Here is a 21,157-nt window from a genome sequence, read left to right as displayed (position 1 = left end):
CTATTTAAACAAATACTTCTTTTTTTGTTACCTTTTAAAAATTGTGATAAAACATATATAATAGTTATCATTTTAACCAGCTGTAAATGTACAAATTCAGTGGCATTAAATACATTCATAATGTTGTGCAACCATCACCACCATCTGCACCCAAAACTATTTCATCATCCCCAACATAAACTATGTACTCACTAAACAATAACTCCTCCTCTATCCCTTAGCCCCTGGCAATCTCGCTTTTACTTTGTCTCTGTGTATTTATTTGCCTATTCTAGATACCCCACGTAAGTGGGATCGTACGGTATTTGTCCTTCTGTGACTGGCTTATTTTACTTAGTATAATTAAACAGATTTTTCTTTTCTTTTCTTTTCTTTTCTTTTTTTTTTTTTTTTTTTGAGACAGAGTCACGCTCTGTCACCCAGGCTGGAGTGCAGTGGTGCGATCTCGGCTCACTGCAACCTCCGCCTCCCAGCTTCAAGCAATTCTCCTGCCTCAGCCTCCAGAGTAGCTGGGAATACAGGCACCCACCACCATGCCCGGCTAATTTCTGTATTTTTAGTAGAGACGGGGTTTCACCATGTTGGCCAGGCTGGTCTCGAACTCCTGACCTCAGGTGATCTGCCCACCTTGGCCCCTAAAGTGCTGGGATTACAGGCATGAGCCACCGTGCCTGGCCATAAACAGAAATTTCTTAATCAAAGCTGGACACAATGACGGCCTTGATTTAGTGCAATGGGAATATGTGGCGCAGGGGCTCTAAGTTTCAGGAAAGGGTGGCATCTGAAAAATGTATTGTAGGAGAGAGACAATTTAACAGGGAGGCAAAGGCAGAGGGATGGACAGGGGAACCTTCCGCGATGATGAGGAGGTGGCAGGGGATGATGAGGCCCCAATGCTGAAGAGAACAATTGGAGTCAAAATGGGAAGAACTTTAGGTTTACTCAATAAACAATTCCAGTATCAGGGGGATGTGGGCAAACAAGTGGAAAAGGCCTCCTTTCTTGCTCACAATCGAGTTAGAATGAGACATAGTAATTTTTGGGAAGATGATGGCAAGTACAATGCAAAGTCAACAGAAAGGATGTGTGGGCTCTGCCTTCAAAGGGAAGCTTGTGATAAGACAAGGCCAAGGGCATGGCCGCCAGCCAGGAGAGCTGTACAAACAGATGAGTGAACACACATGAGGCCAAGGCACAGGGCCCTGCACAAGAGGCTGTTGGTCGGGGGTGGGTCTGAGGCCTGTTAGCATGGCATTCAGAGACATCTGGGAAATGACCCTTGACTCTGCTCCACAGAGAGCCATCCGGAAAGCACTGAGGCATGGCAGGCTGGGGCTGACGGCCAGGGCCATGGTCATGCCTTGAGGACTGCCCTCCATTCTGCAATCACACTGTCTGCATGACACCAAGGCTGGAGGCCAATGACGCCTGGCCTAGAGGAAGTTTCTCCTGTACATCCAGACTGACTCTCTAGGGCTAGGGGGCAGGAGGGCTCCAGAGGGCCTGACTTCATCCTCACCTTCACCCTCTCAGTCATTCTCCTCCACACTCAGTGGTAGATTGCTTGTAGTGGTCCAAAAGTCTGGACCTCTATCTGTGCCCCAGAATGGTGCTGATCTCACTGTAGGGGACCCTGACTCTGAAGATTTTCTTTTTCTCCTTTAGACAAAACAAAAACAAAACCCCACAAACCTCAAACCTGTTTTTCTGAAAGAAAGCCAAGAGTATTTCTGAACTTCCCATCATTCCAAGTCTGCTATTAATATTTGTCAATGCACTGGCCAAGCAGATGCCCAGGGGATGCAGCAGGAGGTGGGGCTAGATGAGGATTTGAGATTAATTTGGGGAATATGAACTTCCAAGAGACTGGAAGCCTTTTGGATATTATTCCATGGGTACAGGAGAAAGCAGTGATGGTTTCTGATGACTCTGACAATGGAGTACGGGATGGATGGGAGTGAGTGGAGCCAGGAAAGTCAGTGAGGAGGTGATTCCTTTAACCAACCTTCATTCAGTCTATCACTCTTTTATTCTTTTTGTCATTAAGATATCAATTGAACATCTATTAAGTATGAAACATGGTTCTAGGTTCATTGGGGAACAGAACAAAGCCCTTACCCTTATGGAGCTCACATTTTAGTAGGGGATACAGGTAATAAACAACAAATGTAATAAACAAGTCAGTTGTAGAGACAATTTGAATATGTCTAGTAAAAAGTGGAGCAGGGTAAGATGAATTTGGAGTGCCACTTGAGAGAGGGTATTATATTTTTAAATATATTGTTCACAGGAGGCCTCGCTGAGAAGATAAAATTTGAGCAAAGGATTGGAGGAGGTAGGGAATTAGTTACATGGCTATCTAAAGGAAGGACATTTCAGGCGTGGGGAACTGCCTGGGCAAAGATCCTGAAGTGGGCGTATGTCTGGCATATTCAAGGGATAGTAAGGAGGCCAATATGGCAGGAGTAGAGTGAACCAGGAGGAAGGCAGTAGGAGATGAGGTTCACAGGTAATGGATGACAGATCAAGACTTCTGGGCTACTGCAAGGGTTCTTTCTCTAAGTTAGGGTTTCTCAGTCTTGGCACTGTTGACATTTTTGATCAGATGACTCTTGGTTGTGGGGGAATGCTGTGTGCATTGTAGGGTGTTTAGGAGCATCGGTACTGGCTAGCATCCAATAGATGCCAGTTCCACCCTATACCAGAGTTGTTACAACAAAAAATATCTACAGATATTGCCAGATGTCCCCTGCGGGAGGGGAATAGGGTTACCACAGGTTGAAAATCACTGCTCTAAGTAAAAAGGGGAGACAGTGGAGGTTTCCGAGCAGAGCAGTAACATTTTACATTTACATACAGTAATTTACATTTTTAAAAGATCACTCAGGCTGGGCGTGTTGCCTCATGCGTGTAATTCCAGCACTTCGGGAGGCCGAGGCGGGAGGAGAGGATCACTGGAGGTCAGGAGTTCGTGACCAGTCTGGCCAACATGGTGAAACCACGACTCTACTAAAAATACAAAAATTAGCCAGGTATGGTGATGCACGTCTGTAATCCCAGCTACTCGGGAGGCTGAGGCAGGAGAATTGCTTGAACCCAGGAGGTGGAGGTTGTAGTGAGCTGAGATTGCGCCACCGCACTCCAGCCTGGCATCAGAGTGACAGAGCGAGACTCCGTCTCAAAAAAAACCCAAAAAAACAGAAAAACATCACAGCATGTCCTGTTGAAAATTGCCTTGGGGAGTAGAAACAGGGAGGAACAGGAAAGAAGCAGGAAGTAGGAAAGAAGTAGGAAAACCCTTTAGGGATAATCCAAGGCTTGAACTAATCCAGAGATGTCACAGTGGAGGTGGTAAGAAGTGGTTGAATTTTGATATATCTTGAATATACAGCCCATAAGATGTGAAAGAAAGGAGTTAAGGATTACTGGAAGATTCTTGGTCTACACAACTGGAAAGATAAAGTTACCACAAACTGAGATAGGGGAGACAGTGGGAGAAACAGGTTTTGGGTGGGAAATAAGTAGCTCAGGTTTAAGCATGTGGAGTTTGAAGTGAAACTCCAATAATCTGAGTAAGAGAATATGAAGCACTGAACTGGGCAGTGACAGTATAGTTGGACAGGGTACTTGGTATTCAAAGATAGCCATTGTGATTTTTAAAATGTAGGGTCTGTCACTCAGTTAAAGGAGAATAAAAGGAAGAAGTGGAGGAAGATCTCATTTAATGGCTGGAGTGATGCTAGCAGTAAGACGAGGATGAATCCCTGTACAGAAAAATAGAATTTGTTAGGCCGGGCACAGTGGCTCACATCTGTAATCCCAGCACTTTGGGAGGCCGAGGCGGGTGGATCAAGAGGTCAGGAGTTCCAGACCAGCCTGGCCAAGATGGTGAAACCTCGTCTAGAGATTTTTGTCTAAAAATACAAAAATGAGCCAGGCGTGGTGGCGGGCGCCTGTACTCGGGAGGCTGAGGCAGAGAATTGCTTGAACCCAGGAGGCAGAGGTTGCAGTGAGCTGAGATCGTGCCACTGCACTCCAGCCTGGGCGACACAGCAAGACACTGTCTCAAAAAAAAACAAACAAACAAAATCCCCCACAAACCTGTCATGAGAAACAGGGAAGGGAAAGATGATGGCAGGTCATACCTCTAATCAAATGGGATTTTTTTTTTTTTTTTTTTTTGAGACAGGGTCTCCGGGTCAGGTGCAGAGGCTCACGCCTGTAATCCCAGCACTTTAGGAGGCCGAGGAGGGTGGATCACTTGATGGCAGGAGTCCCAGACCAGCCTGGCCAACATAGCAAAACCCCATCTCCACTAAAAGTACAAAAATTAGCCGTGCATGGTGGTGCAAGCCTATAAGCCCAGCTACTCGGGAGGCTGAGGCAGGAGAATCACTTGAACCCAGGAGGCGGAGGTTGCAGTGAGCCGAGATTGTGCCGCTGCACTCCAGCCTAGGTGACAGGGCGAGACTCCGTCTCAAAAAAAAAAGAAAAAGAAAAACAGAACGAGATGGGGTCTCTGTCACCCACGCTGGAGTGCAGTGGCACGATCTTGGCTCACTGTACCCTCCGCCTCCCACGCTCAAGTGATTATCCCACCTCAGCCTCCCAAGTAGCTGGGACCACAGGCGTACCACCACGTCCAGCTAATTTTTGTATTTTTGGTAGAGACGGGGTTTCGCCATGTTGTCCAGGCTGGTCTCGAACTCCTGGCCTCAAACGATCCACCCGCCTCAGCCTCCCAAAGTGCTGGGATTACAGGCGTACAGGCGTGAGCCATGGCGCCCAGCCCTCTAATCATATTGGATTTAAGGTGTCAATGGGATAGCTGAGAGGAAAGGTCTAGGAGAGAGTTGGCAACACAGCTCTGGTGCTCAGGAGCAGTCAGGAAGCTACAGATAGAAAGAGAATCCCCTCCTCCCAGCAGTTACAGGTATATCAAGGGAGACTCACAAAAAGGAGCCATGAAGGATGCTGAGACTGAGAACGGTCAAAGGCAATCAAGGAAGGCGCAGAGCTTGGAAGATCCAGGTGAGGAGGTTCCAGGAAAATCCAAGTAAACAGAAATTCAATTTAGCTAATGCTTGATTGCAATACCTATAACAATACATGAGGTTATTTTTGTTCAGGCCTAAGGTCTATCCTCTCTGTTAAATTAGAAGTTATAGTTTTTTAAGAGTTGGTTATTTAAACTTACTCACTGCATTCATAAAACCCAAGTTTGTGAAACCAAAAATAATGTTTAACCAGCAAACACAGCACATATCAACTAATACCATACATTACTGTATTTCAGGGAGAATCTGTCCGTACATAAGTTTGTCCATAAAGATGGGTCCCTGGGCTCGATGGACTACAGGGGAGCTTTCTGTGTTATATACTCTTTGCCATCACTGATGATTTATGTATATCCTTGGATTTTGCTAACCTGCCCCTTAGCTGTTTTCCAGACTTAGAAATGCGTGGAAACAAAGATTTTGAAAGCCCTCAATGAGTCATTCATAAATCTTGTATTTATTAAATGACAAGCAGCTTGAACTCTGCCTGATTAAGCCATTCATATGTAGGCAAAACAGACAGAAAAAAAAGAATGTACTCTGACTAAAGGTTACAATTACATTGGAAAAAAATTCCTTCATTTTCAACAGATGGACCCTTCCTTTGATCACCACCTGATTTCAAAAGGCAACAAGCCTTTTTGCAATTCCCTGAAATCTAAATTAGAGATTATGCTGCGATATCTTGACTGAGAAAGCTCAGCTTCCCCCTCTCACCCACTTCTTCCCTGGGAGCATGATCCCAATGTGTGGTAGCCAAAGGTTTCAGAATATGTTTCTAATAACTGCTCTTTGTGCTGCAATTAATTGCCCAGTGCCACCAATCAGATGAAATGCATTTTCCCCTTTCCGTCAAATTTCCCAAATATTCATATTCATTCATTCACTCACAATTCACTCAACCTTTACTGCGTTCCAATTGTGAGTGGTTGCAGCTTTTTGCCTGGCTCCAGGGAGAAGAGGGCAGGTGTGTACAGGCACAGAGAACGGTGCCCTTGCTGCTTTTGGCATTTCAGTGAATTCCAACCCTGATGCTGAGGTTAAAAAAAAAAAAAAACCTCAGTAAAAAATATTCCTAGAAAGCTTTACGGTTTTCCACTTCCAACATACCCAAGAAGAGTGGCCACTCCTGAGAGATGTGCAGGGACAATTCAAGGGTATGCTCTGGGGCAGCTTCTCTCACCACAGAAATAGCACTACTTGTCTCCATACTCTAGCAAGACTTTTAAACAGCAGAGTGATGGCCAGATTATCAGTAAAGGAAGAATGGGAAGCAGAAAGCAACGCGGTTTTCAGTGGCTAGGAGAGAACAAGTTCTTTTCAAACTAAGTTGTACACATCAACTCCCCTTATCTCTCAAACTTTCCCAGCGAAAATACACAGGAGGGAAGGGCACTGACATCAATATTAACCAATTGCCACAAGCCTCGGGGCAGAAGCATTTAACATTGAATGCCACAAGAATCACGAAAACCAACAAGGTTTGTATTTGGAGGTTCCTCTCCTTCAGCTTTAGGGCTGAGCACAAAACAAAAAGGCCAGAAGAAAGAACTGCAGGGTGAAGAAAGCTCAGATTTGCCCGCATGGCACAGTTGTGATGCTGATACCCTGTCTTGGGGGTGAGTGGCTGTGAGTCTCTCCACAGCCCCTAGCATAGTGGGTGGTGCGGATACAATGCAGATCTGAGGGAGTTCCAGTTTACTGAGCCTCGGTTTCTGGAACCGCAACCTCAGATTTGTCGCCCTTACCCCCGTCTCTAGCTATTTCACAGAAGGCTGGACTTTCTGGAGTTATTTGGATTCAACCAACCTTGGCAACCCTACCTACCAAGGAACTGCTCTCCCGCGCCCCCACCCCCTTTTCTCTGGAACAGCTGTTATCGCGTCCTGTGCAAAGAACCTTAAAGGATGACAGCCGTTTGGTAACTCCCATAGTGGAGGAAGAGGGCTGGGGTGGGGGAGTTCGACACCCCATTAGGCCCCACTCAGTACTCCCGGGCGCCCTGCCGGGACCCAGACAATACTCGCAGGATCAACAGCTCTCCTAGCTCCGGAACCCGGTGCGCCAGAGCGGAGAGTCGTGGGAAGAATCACGGCCCTGTCTGGATCGGCCTGTCCCTGGTCGCCCCCCACTCCTCTCGGCCACCCGTCCTTACCTGAGCGTCTCTCCAGATCACGAACCTAGCCGCTCGCTCGCCTACGGGGATCCGCAGCCTGCACGTCCGGCCATCGAAGCTACGCCCCCTCGTGCCCTGTTACGCCCCACATACCAGGGCCACGCCCCTCAATGGAGGCCACGCCCCCACCTGGCAGATCCACGCCCCACTACGTCCGTACTTATTGCCCCGGTCACGCCCAACCAAACTGTGCCAGTCTCTGCCCTCCACCCTGGCCACACCCCTTTAGCTACAGCCACGCCCCTCTCGCCCGGGCCACGCCCCCATTCACCCCTGCTCCCTCCTAGCCCCGCCTCTGCGCTCCCCCTGGGCTCTTCCCTCTAGCCTGGGCCACGCCTCTGAGCCCTGCTCTGGCCCCGCCCCCGCCGGACCAATCCTCCCTCCTCCTGCTCGCCGCTGGCCGCATTAGTGGATTGAAACTAGACCTGGGGCTTCAGAGCCTTATCTAAAAAGTGACTTTCCCTCGGTTCCTCCCATCTCCAAACACCACGACTTTATGTGCTGGGAACAGGTGACTCAGTAGGGAAACAAACACTGAACGTGTCCTTTCCCGCTAGTTTTCATGTCCAATTTACCCGAGTTTCTTTGAGCCAGTTTTTATGTCCTCTGAACTCGAACTGTGGACCCGTGTTCCTTCCAGCCCAATTTTCATATCCTCTAAAGCAGAACTGTGGATGTGTTCCTTCTAGCCTCTTAGCCGACCTTAAATACTAGGCAGATGAGTGGAAAAAACAGAATTCCTCTACTTCCTGATGTCTCCTTCAGATGGGCTTTCCTAAGCACCCAGTGCCCCGTTGCTGCTGAGGGCGTGTGAAGACATCACCCCCACTTTGTGCTTTGAGATTACTCTGCTATCCTTCTTCCCTCAATTTACAACTCTGGGTCCACGTGAAAAATATGAAGAAGCTATAACCAGCTTTCTTCCCCTGTGTACATAAATCTCTGACTCATTCATGCAAATTTCATTTATTGAGTACATGCTCCCCTGACAAACAAGACAAGCCTCAAGAAGCTTACAGTCTGAAGTTGCCCCAACTTGGGTTTGGATGAGAAAATTGGGGAAGATGTGGCAAAAGGTTAATAGGTGGAAAAGGAGTTGGTAATCTCAGGTCATTAGTAGGAATATTTGGGGGTAGTAAACATAGGAAGCCACTTTTATAGTATTTAGTACATTTCTTTACACAATAAATTATCAAAAAATCTTCACTGAATATCTACTCTTCCACATGTATAGAAATATATAATTTCCCCCCTTTGTAGAAGTAAAATTTGCTACTTATATTGCTTCATATGCCAACAATAAAGATTTTACTATCACACAGTTCTTTTTTCTTCTCCTCCCTTGCATTTCTGGCTTGAAGACAGTGAGAATATTCAAAATGTTGGGCTAGAAGGAACACAGAGAAAAGAACAACTTTCAACAGAACACTTTCATTATGCTCGCCCTGACCCTGAGAACTCTGCCTCATTTATAAAATGTTTCAACTGTCAGTCATTTTTTGCCTGAAAAATGAATTCACAGAAATTGGTCCAAATACAGTCTATATAAATTACTGAGTTTATTTTTATACAAGTAGTTCTACTTCACCTTCTTCCACAAATGATTTGAGGCAGCGTCCTAAAATATAGACATTAGTAGATTTAAAAATAGGGGAAGGAACCAGTGAAAGGAGAGCTTAATGGAAGGAGAATGATGTGGCCAATGATAAGATTAACATTTAAGTTTGCACTCCATCAGATCCAGAACAGTTGTCAGAAGTAGGCCAGAAATTTGACCCTAACTAAGCTGTTGAATAGCCATAGAAAAGAGGAAATAGCAATCATTTTTAGGTTTTTACTGTTCATAAGATAAAAACTGGCTTTTTTTCTTTTCCCTTTTTTTTTTTTTTTTTTTTGAGACAGAGTTTTGCACTTGTTGCCCAGGCTGGAGTGCAATGGCGCGATCTCAGCTCACTGCAACCTTCGGCCCTCAGGTTCAAGCGATTCTCCTGCCTCAGCCTCCTGAGTAGCTGGAATTACAGGCATGCACCATCATGCCCGGCTAATTTTGTATTTTTAGTAGAGATGGGGTTTCTCCATGTTGGTCAGGCTGGTCTTGAACTCCCGACCTCAGGTGATCCACCCGCCTCGGCCTCCCAAAGTGCTGGGATTACAGGTGTGAGCCACTGCACCCGGCCTTTTTTTTTTTTTTTTTTTTTTTAATGGAATTTCACTCTTGTTGCCCAGGCTGGAGTGCAATGGCATGATCTCGGCTCACTGCAACCTCTGCCTCCCGGGTTCAAGTGATTCTCCTGCCTCAGCCTCCCAAATAGCTGGGATTACAGGCGCCCGCCACCATGCCCAGCTAATTTTTGTATTTTTAGTAGAGACGGGGTTTCACCATGCTGGCCAGGCTGGTCTCGAACTCCTGGCCTCAGGTGATCCACTTGCCTCAGCCTCCCAAAGTGCTGGGATTACAGGCGGGAGCCACCGTGCCCGGCTGTTTTGTTTTTATAGAAGCAGTTTTTCTTGAATTTTAGTCCTGAGAGAAATACAGTTTCCTCATAAAGATGATGTAGTGAGCCTAGTGGGAACTATGTGTCATAAGGAGTGACACCCAAATCCCCTCAATGGAAACTGTTGGCACAATCACAAAGCACAGTGCATTAAATCAATTCTATGAATTGGCCAGGCATAGTGGCTCAGGCCTGTAATCCCAGTAGTTTGGGAGGCTGAGGCAGGAGGATTGCATGAGCCCACGAGTTAGAGACCGGCCTGGACAACATGGTGAAGCCCCATCTCTACAAAATTAGCTGAGTGTGGTGATGTATGCTTGTAGTCCCAGCTACTTGGGAGGCTGAAGTGAGAGGATCATCTGAGCCTAGGGAGGCTGAGGCTGCAGTGAGCCGTGATCACACCACGGCATTACAGCCTGGGCAACAGACTGAGACCCTGTATCAAAAAAAAAAAAAATTCCATGAACCATCAACATATTTCTGTTCACTTGAATACACAAGCCCTCAATGGTCTGGCTTAATCCAGGGTAGCATTTAGATCATCTTTCCCCAGGATGGCAAATAGGTTTCAACTCACATGTTAACTCTGAACTATTTGTAGTAGCTGCCTGAATAACTATGTTGAGAAGTTTGGGGGCTTTGTCCAGGCTCAGAAAGAAAAAGTTCTGTACTCAGTTAACAATGCTGTGGGTGCAGGATAGGTAAGTGGCTGCATGCAATAACCTACCTGGTACCTCTGCTTTGTAGAAATAGAGGTCTTGCATGCAGAACTTTGTGCAGTCACTCAAAATCAACAATTCTCGTGGCCAGGCGCAGCAGCTCATGCCTGTAATCCCAGCACTTTGGGAGGCTGAGGCGGGCAGATCACCTGAGGTCAGGAGTTTGAGACCAGCCTGACCAACCTGGAGAAACCCCATCTCTACGAAAAATAGAAGATTATCCAGGCATGGTGGCACATGCCTGTAATCCCAGCTACTAGGGAGGCTGAGGCAGGAGAATTGCTTGAACCTGGGAGGCAGAGGTTGCAGTGAGCCGAGATTGCACCATTGCACTCCCGGCTGGGCAACAACAGCGAAACTCCGTCTCAAAAATAAATAAATAAATAAATAATTTCTCACCACAGGGTTTTTGATAAATACCAGAGTGTAGAGAGTTCCAGGTCCCTTTCTCACTCTGATCCACCTATACTGGTCTTCCCATGTTCATTCCTGTCTCTGAACATTTTCTTTTGTTGTTCCCATTGTTTGGACCACTCTTTACTCGGATCTTTACATGGCTGGAGTTTTCTCATTATTCAGTACTTAGCTAAAATGTCACCTCTTTAGATATGTTTTTCCTGACAACCATATCTGAAGTTGTATCCAGAGCCTCTCAATCTGCACTGTGCCCAGAGATCACCCGAAGATCATGTTACAATGCAGACTCTGATGCAGTGGTTCCGCGATGTGACTTGAGATTCTAGATTTCAAGCATGCTGCCAGGAGATGCAATCCTGAGGTTCTATAAGACACTCTGAGGCTGGCACGGTGGCTCATGCCTATAATCCCAGCACTTTGGGAGACCGAGGCAGGCAGATCACCTGAGGTCAGGAGTTCGAGACTGGCCTGGCCAACATGGCGAAACACTGTCTCTACTAAAAATACAAAAATTAGCTAGGCGCGGTGGTGGGCACCTGTAATCTCAGCTACTCAGGAAGATGAGGCAGGAGAATCACTTGAACCCAGGAGGCGGAGGTTGCAGTGAGCCGAGATCACGCCATTGCACTCCAGCCTGGGTGAGAGCGAGACTTCGTCTCAAAACAAAACAAAACAAAACAAAACAAAAAGACACTTTGAGTAACAGCTTCACCTCTCCATCTCTATTACCTATTTTATTTTCTTCATAGTGTTTCTCAGTATTTGAAATTATTTGATTATTTGTTGGTTGGTTGTTTACTATAATGTAAATTCCCTAAGAGCAGGGACTCTGACCAATTTGCCCAACTTTGTACTCCTGGCAGTTAACACAGTACCTGGGGCATCAGCAAATACCCTTTAAATATTGCTAAATGAATAATTTTATGATTCATTAATTCCTTTATCTGTTCAGTGACTGCTTAGTTATATGCCAGGAACTAAACTATAAATGATAGAAGGCAGTGCTACTCAAGTGCTAGCCTATGAACTGCTAGGTACTCTGGTTCAAGCTGAGATAAGCTTGAACTAGAATGTAAAATCTGATATGTCATTAAACACAGTGGTTATTTAGGATGTCATATTTTTTCTTTTTTCTTTTTTTTTTTTTTTTTGAGACAGAGTTTCACTCTTGTTGCCCAGGCTGGTATGCAATGGCTGATCTCGGCTCACTGCAACCTCCACCTCCCAGGTTCAAGTGATTCTCCTGCCTCAGCCTCCTGAGTAGCTGGGATTACAGGCATGCAACACCATGCCCAGCTAATTTTTTGTATTTTTAGTAGAGACGGGGTTTCACCATGTTGGTCAGGCTGGTCTTGAACAGCTGACCTCAGGTGATCCACCCACCTGGGCCTCCCAAAGTGCTGGAATTACAGACATGAGCCACCGCACCTGGCCAGGATGCCATATTTTTTCATAGCCAGGCTTTCTTGATCTGATTAGTAGGATATTTCTGGGCAGCAAACACAGGAAGCCACATTTATAGTACTTACTACAGTCTTTTACACAATAAATCTTCACTGTTTGTATGCCCTTTTTACTTGTGTATAGAGCTACACTTTTTCCCTCTCATAGCAGCAAGATTTGCTACACATAATTCTTCATCTACCAGCAATAAATATTTCACTTTTATTTTTTTAAACAGTAAAGATTTTAGAATCACATATTAGTTCCCTTCTTTTCCCACCTTCTGTTCTATTTCTGCCTTGAAGACAGTGGGAACATTCACAAAGTTGAGCTAGAAGGAGCACAGAGAAAAGAACAATTTTTCAACAAAACATTTTTATTAAGTTCACCCTGACCCTGAGAATTCTGCCTCATGTATAGAAAATGTTTCAAATGTAAGACATTTCTTGCCTGAAAACAGAAACAAAAATTGGGACCAAATATGGTTTGTATTAAGTTACTGTGTTCATTTTTATGTAGTTAGCAACAGCTCATCTTCTTCCACAAATGATTTGAGGCAGTTTCAAAATTAAAGACAATATTGGATAAAAGAAATAGCTGAAGGAACCACGGAAAGGGAAGTTTAAAGGAAAGAGAATAATGCAGCCAATGATAAAATAAACAAGTCACCAAGCCTGAACTTTTTCCTTCTTAGCACAGAGGAAAATGTCCTTGCTAAAGGTGGGCCAGAGATTTGGCTCTAAGCTTCTGAATGCCCATAGCAAGAGAGAATCACCATCATTTTAAGGTTTTCCAGTGTTAATAATATATATAATTGAGACAGAGTCTCGCTCTGTCGCCCAGGCTGGAGTGCAGTGGCATCATCTTGGCTCACTGCAACCTCCTCCTCCTGGGTTCGAGAGATTGTCGAGCCTCAGCCACCTGAGTAGCTGGGACTACAGGCACACGCCACCATGCCTGGCTAATTTTTTTTTCTTTTAGTAGAGATGGGGTTTTACCATGCTGGCCAGGCTAGTTCTTGAACTCCTGACCTCAGGTAATCCATCCACCTCAGCCTCCCAAAGTGCTAGGATTATAAGGTGTGAGCCACTGCACCCAGCCCAGTGTTCATAAACTAAAAGCCAGAGTTTTGTTTGCTTGTTTGATTGATTTTGAGAACTACAGTTTTTCTTGATTTTCAATGCCAAAAGAAACCCTGAATCCTCAGAAAGATAAGGTTGTGAGCTAAGTGGGAAATAAGTGTCCTAAAGAATTACACAGTTTCCTTCAATGTAAGCTATTGTTACAATCACAAAGCACAGTCCATTAAGTCAATTCTATGACTATACAAACCTTCCTGTTCAACTCCATAGACTGTACACACGTTGGGAATTGTTGGGAGAAAAGCTGAGTGTTGGGAGAAGCTGATGCAGGGCTTGCATGTCTGACATAATGTAAAAGAGTCTTGGACCATGTCCGGGGTCCATGGTCTAAAACCCCTTGTGGCCTCTGGAACACCAAGCTCTGTGCTAAAGGGTGGAAGGCTACCCTGCTGCACCATAATCTAAGCCTAGGGCATAAAACCCCTCCTGCTTAGATAGAATCCAGGGCTCAGGGCATAAAACCCCTCATGGCCCTGGAATGTGTCTAGACTTGCTGGCTCCTTGCTCTCCTAGGAGCGATTGTATCTTGAGTTAAAAGAACCTGCTCTCCGTTATCTCAAGTAGCAGAGCATATGCTAAACCATCACAGCTGTAAATCATGTGCTTAATGCAACGCTCCTTTTCAACCCCACATTCTCACCACCTGTTTCTTTGTTTGATCACCAATAAATAGTCTGGGCTTCCAGAGCTCGGGGCCTTCACAGCCTCCATACTTAGTGATGGCCCCCTGGTCCCACTTTCTCTCTCAAACTGTCTTTTCTCATTCCTTTGAGTCCGACGGACTTCATCTCCCCCAAGACCTGGTGTTGGGTCCAATCACCCCAACAGGGAATGGTCTGGATTAATCCATGGTAGCATTTAGGTTATTATTCCCCAGCATGGCAAGTAGGTTTCAATTTGCATGTCAACTCTGATCCATTCATATTAGCTGCCTAAATAAACTGTGTTGTGAAGTTCTGTGGCTGAGTCCATGCTCAGAAGGAAAATGTTCTGTGACTGATTAACAATGTTTATCGTGGGTACAAGATGCGTGAGTGGCTACCTACAACAACCTATGTGACATATTTGATTTGTAGGAATGGAGACCTTGCATGCAGGTCTTTTACAGTCCTACCAAAACAACATTTCTCATTACAGCACACTTGATAACTATCACTTGGTAGAGAATTCAAGGTCATTTTCACGGGCCAAAACCTAAGGGCAGAAATGTTGAGGTGTTGATTAATTTATACGCTTTGTATACCAACCAGGAGGAACTTAGTTTAAGGTTCTGTTATGAAAATGAGAGCATCTAAACAAAGTGGCACGTGATCTAATGCCCCCTCTACCTCGTTCTTTCTTTCTTTTTTTGTTTTTTTGAGACAGTCTTGCTCTGTCACTCAGGCTGGAGTGCAATGGCACGATCTCAGCTCACTGCAACCTCCACCTCCCGGGTTCAAGCAATTCTGCTTCAGCCTTCCAAGTAGCTGGGATTTCAGGCGTGTGTCACCACGCCCAGCTAATTTTTTGTATTTTTAGTAGAGATGGGGTTTCACCATGTTGGCCAGGCTGGTCTCCAACTCCTGACCTCAGGTAATCTGCCCGCCTCAGTCTCCCAAAGTGCTGGGATTACAGATGTGAGCCACCGCACCCAGCCTCCTCTACCTCTATCTCTTTGTAAAGTATGGATGGACAAGGCTGAACACTTTAGGGTAAACTCCAACCAGGCAGCCAAATAAGTGATTAAAGACTGAAAATCCTAACTCCATGCATGGCTGCATGAGTTTTTAGCCCAGAAAAATAAGCATTATGTGCCAAGACCATGGAAAACTTTCAATATAACACCAAGAAGCAGTGTAAATAATTGAGTATCTAGGAGAAAATATCAGAAGAGTCAATACAGTCTTGCTTTGACTACATGGGACTCATTATTCCTTATTGGGAATCATTCACAGAATGAGACACAAAAAGACAGATGCTCATGCATTCCATTTAAGAAACTGTCCTTTAAATTTCCACTTTATAAATATGTTGGCAAAATGACACTCACTCAGTTTCTCTGAGTTAATTTTTATTTCCAAACAGTAGTAATTAATATTCTCTGAAGTAAAAAAAATTAGCCTGTGAAAAATAAGTCAAAGTTCATAACAGTTATGGCTGTTAATTAACCTACAAAATTTGGTGAGCCTTTTGAATATGCTAGTTTCATAAGATTTTCTCATCTTAAAATAGGGCATTCCAACCTGAGCAATGTGGCAAAACCTCATCTCTACAAATAATAAAAAAATTGGCCAGGCATGGTGGCGCATGTCTGTAGTCCCCGCTACTCAAGAGGCTGAGGTGGGAGGCTCGCTTGAGCCCAGGAGGCAGAGGTTTCAGTGACCCAAGATGGCGCCGCTGCACTCAGTCTGGGTGATAGAGTGGGACCTTGTCTCAAAAAAAAAAAAAAAAAAAAGACATAAAATATCAGGATGAAGACAAAAACATTCCAGGATTCTTTGTTTATGATCGATTCTGGAAGTTGGGTTTTTGTTTGGTTTTCTTTGTTGTTGTCGCTTTTAATCCTAAGCTAGGAATGAGAAAAAAAAATCAAATATACCTCAAGACACTTCATTTCCAACAGTTTTGGGCTTCTTAGAACTTCAGTTTATGATGAAGACTAGTCAATTCAGTTATATTCGACAATCAAATAATCATGGGCTATGAAAAATGCAAAAATGAACCAAATATAGTCCCTGTCCTCCAGGAACTTACAATTTGCAGGACACAAAAGTAAATCATGTCAGCAATAGATGCATGTACAAATGTGAACAAAATGCTATGGGAGCACAGGACAAGGAAAGGATGAAGTTACTAGATGTGACAAGTCACTTATAAAGCTATAACTAAAGCAAAAGCAAAGAAAGGTTTCTCAAAGGAGGTGATAATCAGGATAGACCTGGAAAAATGGCAGGAAGTTTAAAGGTAAAAAACGAAAGCCCACAGGATTCAAGTTAAGGCAATCTCCTGAAAACAAACATAAAGGACAGAAGTGGGACACGGTGACTCTGACTCGCAGAGACTTGCTTATTACCTGGGTGACAAAATAATCTGTATACCAAACCCCCACGACACACAATGTAACTATATAATAAACCTGCTCATATACCTCTGAACCTAAAATATCATTAAAATGGCCATACTGCCCAAAGCTATTTACAGATTCAATGCTATTCCTATCAAACTATCAATGACACTCTTCACAGAACTAGAAAAAACTATTTTAAAATTCACATGGAACCAAAAAACGGGCTAAATAGCCAAGGCAATTCTAAGCAAAAAGAACATCGCTGGAGGTATCATATAATCTGATTTCAAACTATACTACAGGGCTACAGTAACCAAAACAGCATGGTATTGGTACAAAAACAGACACATAGACCAATGGAACAGAATAGAGAGCCCAGAAATAAGGCACACTTAAAACCATCTGATCTTCAACAAAATCGACAAAAAAAAAAAAAAAAAAAAAAAGAAGAGCAAAAGTATTCCCTATTCAATAAAAGGTGATGGGATAACTGGCTAGCCATATGCAGAAGACTGAAACTGGACCCCTTCCTTACACCACATACAAAAATCAACTCAAGATGGATTAAAGGCCCAAATGTAAAGCTAAAACTATAAAAATCTGGAAGATAACCTAGGAAATATCATTCTGGACATAGGACCTCACAGAGATTTCATGATGAAGTCTCCAAAAGAAACTGCAACAAAACCAAACATTGACAAATGGGACCTAATTAAACTAAACAGCTTCTGTACACAAAAGAAACTATCAACGGAGTAAACAGACAACCTACAGAATGGGAAAAGATATTTGCAAACTATGTATCTGACAAAGGTCTAATATCCAGAACCTGTGAGGAACTTAAACAAATTTACAAGCAAAAACTAAACAATCCCCCATTAAAAAGTGGGCAAAGGACATGAGCTAACACTTTTCAAAAGAAGACATACACATGGTCAAACAGGCATATGAAAAAAACCTCGACATCACTAATCATTAGAGAAATGCAAATCAAAACCACAATGAGAGAACATCTCACATCTATCAGCACTGCTATTATTAAAAAGTCAAAAAATAACATTCTGGTGGGGGTGTGGAGAAAAGGGAACACTTATATGCTGCTGGTGGGAAATTAGTTCAGTCAATGTGGAAAGCAGTTTGGAGTTCTCCCGGAATAATATGTTACAATATGGGAGATTATTCCGAAACCTGGTAGGATAAGGATATAGACTTTGGGGTGACCAAAAAATCAGAATAAATGTTGATATAAGATAGAGTCACCTCCACTGGCAGGGTCAAAGAAAGTAGTATTGAGGTTACAATCAGTTAATAGTATAGCGATGCTGGCAGCTAGGACTGGATTCGACCCAGCAATCCCATTACTGGGTATATGCCCAAAGGAATATAAATCATTCTGCCATAAAGACAGATGTACATGTATGTTCATCACAGCACTATTCACAATGGCAAAGACATGGAATCAACCTAAACGACCATCAACAGTAGACTGGATTTAAAAAATGTGGTACATATATACAATGAAATACTATGCAGCTATAAAAAAGAATGAGATCATGTCCTTTGCAGCAACATGGATGAAGCTGGAGGCCATTATCCTAAGCAAACTAACACAGGAACAGAAAACCAAATACTGCATGTTCTCACTTACAAGTAGAAGCTAAACCTTGAGTACATATGGACACAAAGAAGGGAACAACAGACACTGGGGCCTACTTGAGGGTGGAGGGTGGGAGGAGGGTGTGGATCAGAAAACTACCTATCAGGTACAATGCTTATTATCTGGGTGACAAAATAATCTGTTCACCAAACCCCCAGGACATGCAATGTACCTATATAGCAAACCTGCACATGTACCCCTGAACCTGAAAGTTAAAACAAAAGAATACACAACTATTCCCAACCTCACTAATAATTCAAATTTAAACAAAAAGAAATTAATTTTACTTATAAGATGGCTAAGATTAAGAGTAATAATATCCAGTGTTGGTGAATGTGAGGATATTAGCAAAGTCATGCATTCTCATGAAAGTATATATTGCTACAACATTTCAATAAGCTATTTACCAGTATTTCCTAAAATAAAAGTACACATAACAATAGGGTGACTATAGTTAACAATAATTTATTGTGTGTGCATACATATATATACACACACACACACACACATATATATATATATATTTTTTTTTTTTTTTTGAGGCAGGGGGACAGAGTCTTGCTTTGTCGCTTAGGCTGGAGTGCAGTGGCATGATCTCAGTTCACTGTAACCTCCAGCTTCTGGGTTCAAGCAATTTTCGTGCCTTGGCCTCTCAAGAAGCTGGAGTTACAGGTGCATGCCACCATGCCTGGCAAATTTTTGTGTTTTTAGTAGAGACAGGGTTTCGCCATGTTGGCCGGGCTGGTGTTGAACTCCTGGCCTCAAGTCATCTGCCTGCCTCAGCTTCCCAAAGTGCTGTGATTACAGGCATGAGCCACCGCACCTGGCCTAATTTATTGTATATTTTAATATAAAAGAGGGGAATTGGACTGTTCCTAACACAAAGAAATGATAAATTCTTGAGGTGATGGGTGCCCCAATTACCCTGATTTGATCATTATAAATTGTATGCCTGTATCAAAACATCACATGTATGCTATATATACAACTATTATGTACCCATAATAAAAAATAAAAAAGTAATAAATTTAAAAAAAGAATATGGAATAAATGATAAATTATAAGCTTATAACACATATTGTATATATATTTGACTGATCTTTCATTTTAAGCAGTATCCCATAAGTTTATTAAATGATAATCTTTAGAGAAACATTATTTAGGCCTTTAACTGCTAATTTCTTTCTTCTTACTAGTTGGGTTAATGGAAATAACCTCAAATTTTAAAATGGTAGTTAATAAAAGGACAAACAGAGGAAATTTGCAAATTGATAAGTTAGGCTGATAGTGATAATATAGGGGGAACCTTCATAAGAATAACATATCAAAATGCTGTGCTCACCGTAGAGAAAAACAGAGTTTTAAAAGAGAAAAGAGGGTGGGCACAGTGGCTCACGCCTGTAATCCCAGCAAAAAAAAAAAAAAAAAAAAAGAGAAAAGACTGAAGTTAAATTAAAACTTCATTTTGTACAAGCAGTGCAAAAGTTTATAAGCAAACTCTTTGCATTCTTCTCAGTTTAAGATGAACAAGTCCAAGTTCAGAACTCTTCAAGGTAAACTGTGCAGTACTGAGACAAGAAGTTGCTAGGCAGCAGTCAAGACTGAGTTCAAGATTGAACTCAATCATTGTTACCTAAGCAGGTATAGAGAAAATTCACTACACCTACATCTAGGAGGTTTCCTCAGTATAGGACTTATTTATTTATACATGTCAACAATAAAAGTAATGATGCCAATTAAGGTGTCAGCACCAAAATTGTCTCTAAAACACTAGACCCTAAGTTACTATTTCTAATATTGGGAAACTAGGAAGGCATACATGATCTATTATCCAAAATCATCTTTTTTTTTTTTTTTTTTTGAGACAGTCTCACTCTGTTGCCCAGGCTGGAGTGCAGTGGTGTGATCTCCGCTCACTGCAACCTCCGCCTCCTGGGCTCAAGCAACTCTCCTGCCTCAGCCTCCCAAGTACCTTGGATTACAGGCACGTGCCACCATGCCTGGCTAATTTTTGTATTTTTAAAATAGAGAAAGGGTTTCACCATGTTGGTCAGGCTGGTCTCGAACTCCTGACCTCAAGTGATCCTCCCCTCCTTGGTATCCCAAAGTGCTGGGATTACAGACATAAGCCACCGCACCTGGCCCCAAAATCATTTATACAATGAAAGTAGCAACATTAGGTTGAAACAAGGTTTCTCCACCTCAGCACTATTGTCTTTGGGGACCCAGATAATTCTTTGTGGTGGAGCTACCCTACATAATGCGGGATGTTCAGCAGTGTCCCTGGTCTCTACCCACTAGATGTCAGTAGCACCCCCATCCCTGCCCACTGCAATTGTGACAACCAAAAATGTCTCTCCAGACATTGCCAAATGTTCTCTGGGGGGCAAAATTGCCCCTGATTGAGAACCCCTGGGTTAAAATAGAATAGGCTTTGCACATGAGGCAAAAATCTTTAATCTCCATATGTATCTTAACCTAATGATAGCTTAAAGAGAATAGAACCATTTTGTTACCTCTTAATTATTCAGCAAATATTGGGCTAATTATTATAAACCTCTTGAAATTGCTTTATTATGTAGACATATCAATTTCATTGCATTAAACTATGAAGGATCACATGTGATTAAAAATCTACAACTTCTAGAAAATTTCTGAATGGTGCTAAATAATTTAGATGCTGGTTTTAAAAATGCATGATTTTAAAATCTTATAAAACGTTTCCATATTCAGCCATTAAAGGTTTTATTTGATTTCTTTTAATGTGTCACAGCCAGATAAATTTCCCAAAACCCAATAAAAATTTACAGAGTAATATCACATTTGAAATGGTTTCACAATTTATAATACTAGTTTTAGGCATTATATGTTTACTACATTTCTGTGATAATGAAACAGAATACTCAGAGTCAAATTTAAAAGGAACATCAGCCCTCCCTAATTCTCGTTTTATTGCAGGTGAATGGAGCCTACATATGCCCACATGCTTTTATGACTCTGATGAA

General features: G+C 43.0%; 1 protein-coding gene and 1 long non-coding RNA gene across 3 annotated transcripts in view, besides 1 other annotated feature; both read right to left on the bottom strand.

Annotated features, from left to right (window-relative positions):
* The window catches only part of CA5B (carbonic anhydrase 5B), a 50,142-nt gene extending 42,847 nt beyond the window's left edge, over positions 1-7,295 (bottom strand). The window contains exon 1 of the mRNA NM_007220.4: positions 7,213-7,295. The gene's annotated coding sequence lies outside the window, so the exon portion shown is untranslated. The remainder of the gene's footprint in view (positions 1-7,212) is intronic.
* The window catches only part of CA5BP1-CA5B (CA5BP1-CA5B readthrough), a 112,954-nt gene that overhangs the window by 42,847 nt on the left and 48,950 nt on the right, over positions 1-21,157 (bottom strand). The gene's annotated exons all lie outside the window — the stretch shown is intronic.
* Positions 7,331-7,630: a silencer, noted in NCBI's record as "silent region_20673". NCBI's record gives its function as "represses an Ori minimal core promoter by ATAC-STARR-seq in GM12878 lymphoblastoid cells {active_cell/tissue: GM12878}" and the evidence as "EXISTENCE:reporter gene assay evidence [ECO:0000049][PMID:35858748]".

Source organism: Homo sapiens, chromosome X (assembly GCF_000001405.40).
Source record: "Homo sapiens chromosome X, GRCh38.p14 Primary Assembly".
Lineage (NCBI taxonomy): Eukaryota > Metazoa > Chordata > Mammalia > Primates > Hominidae > Homo > Homo sapiens.
Note: the sequence above shows the minus strand (reverse complement) of the source record. Positions and strands in the feature narration are given on the sequence as shown.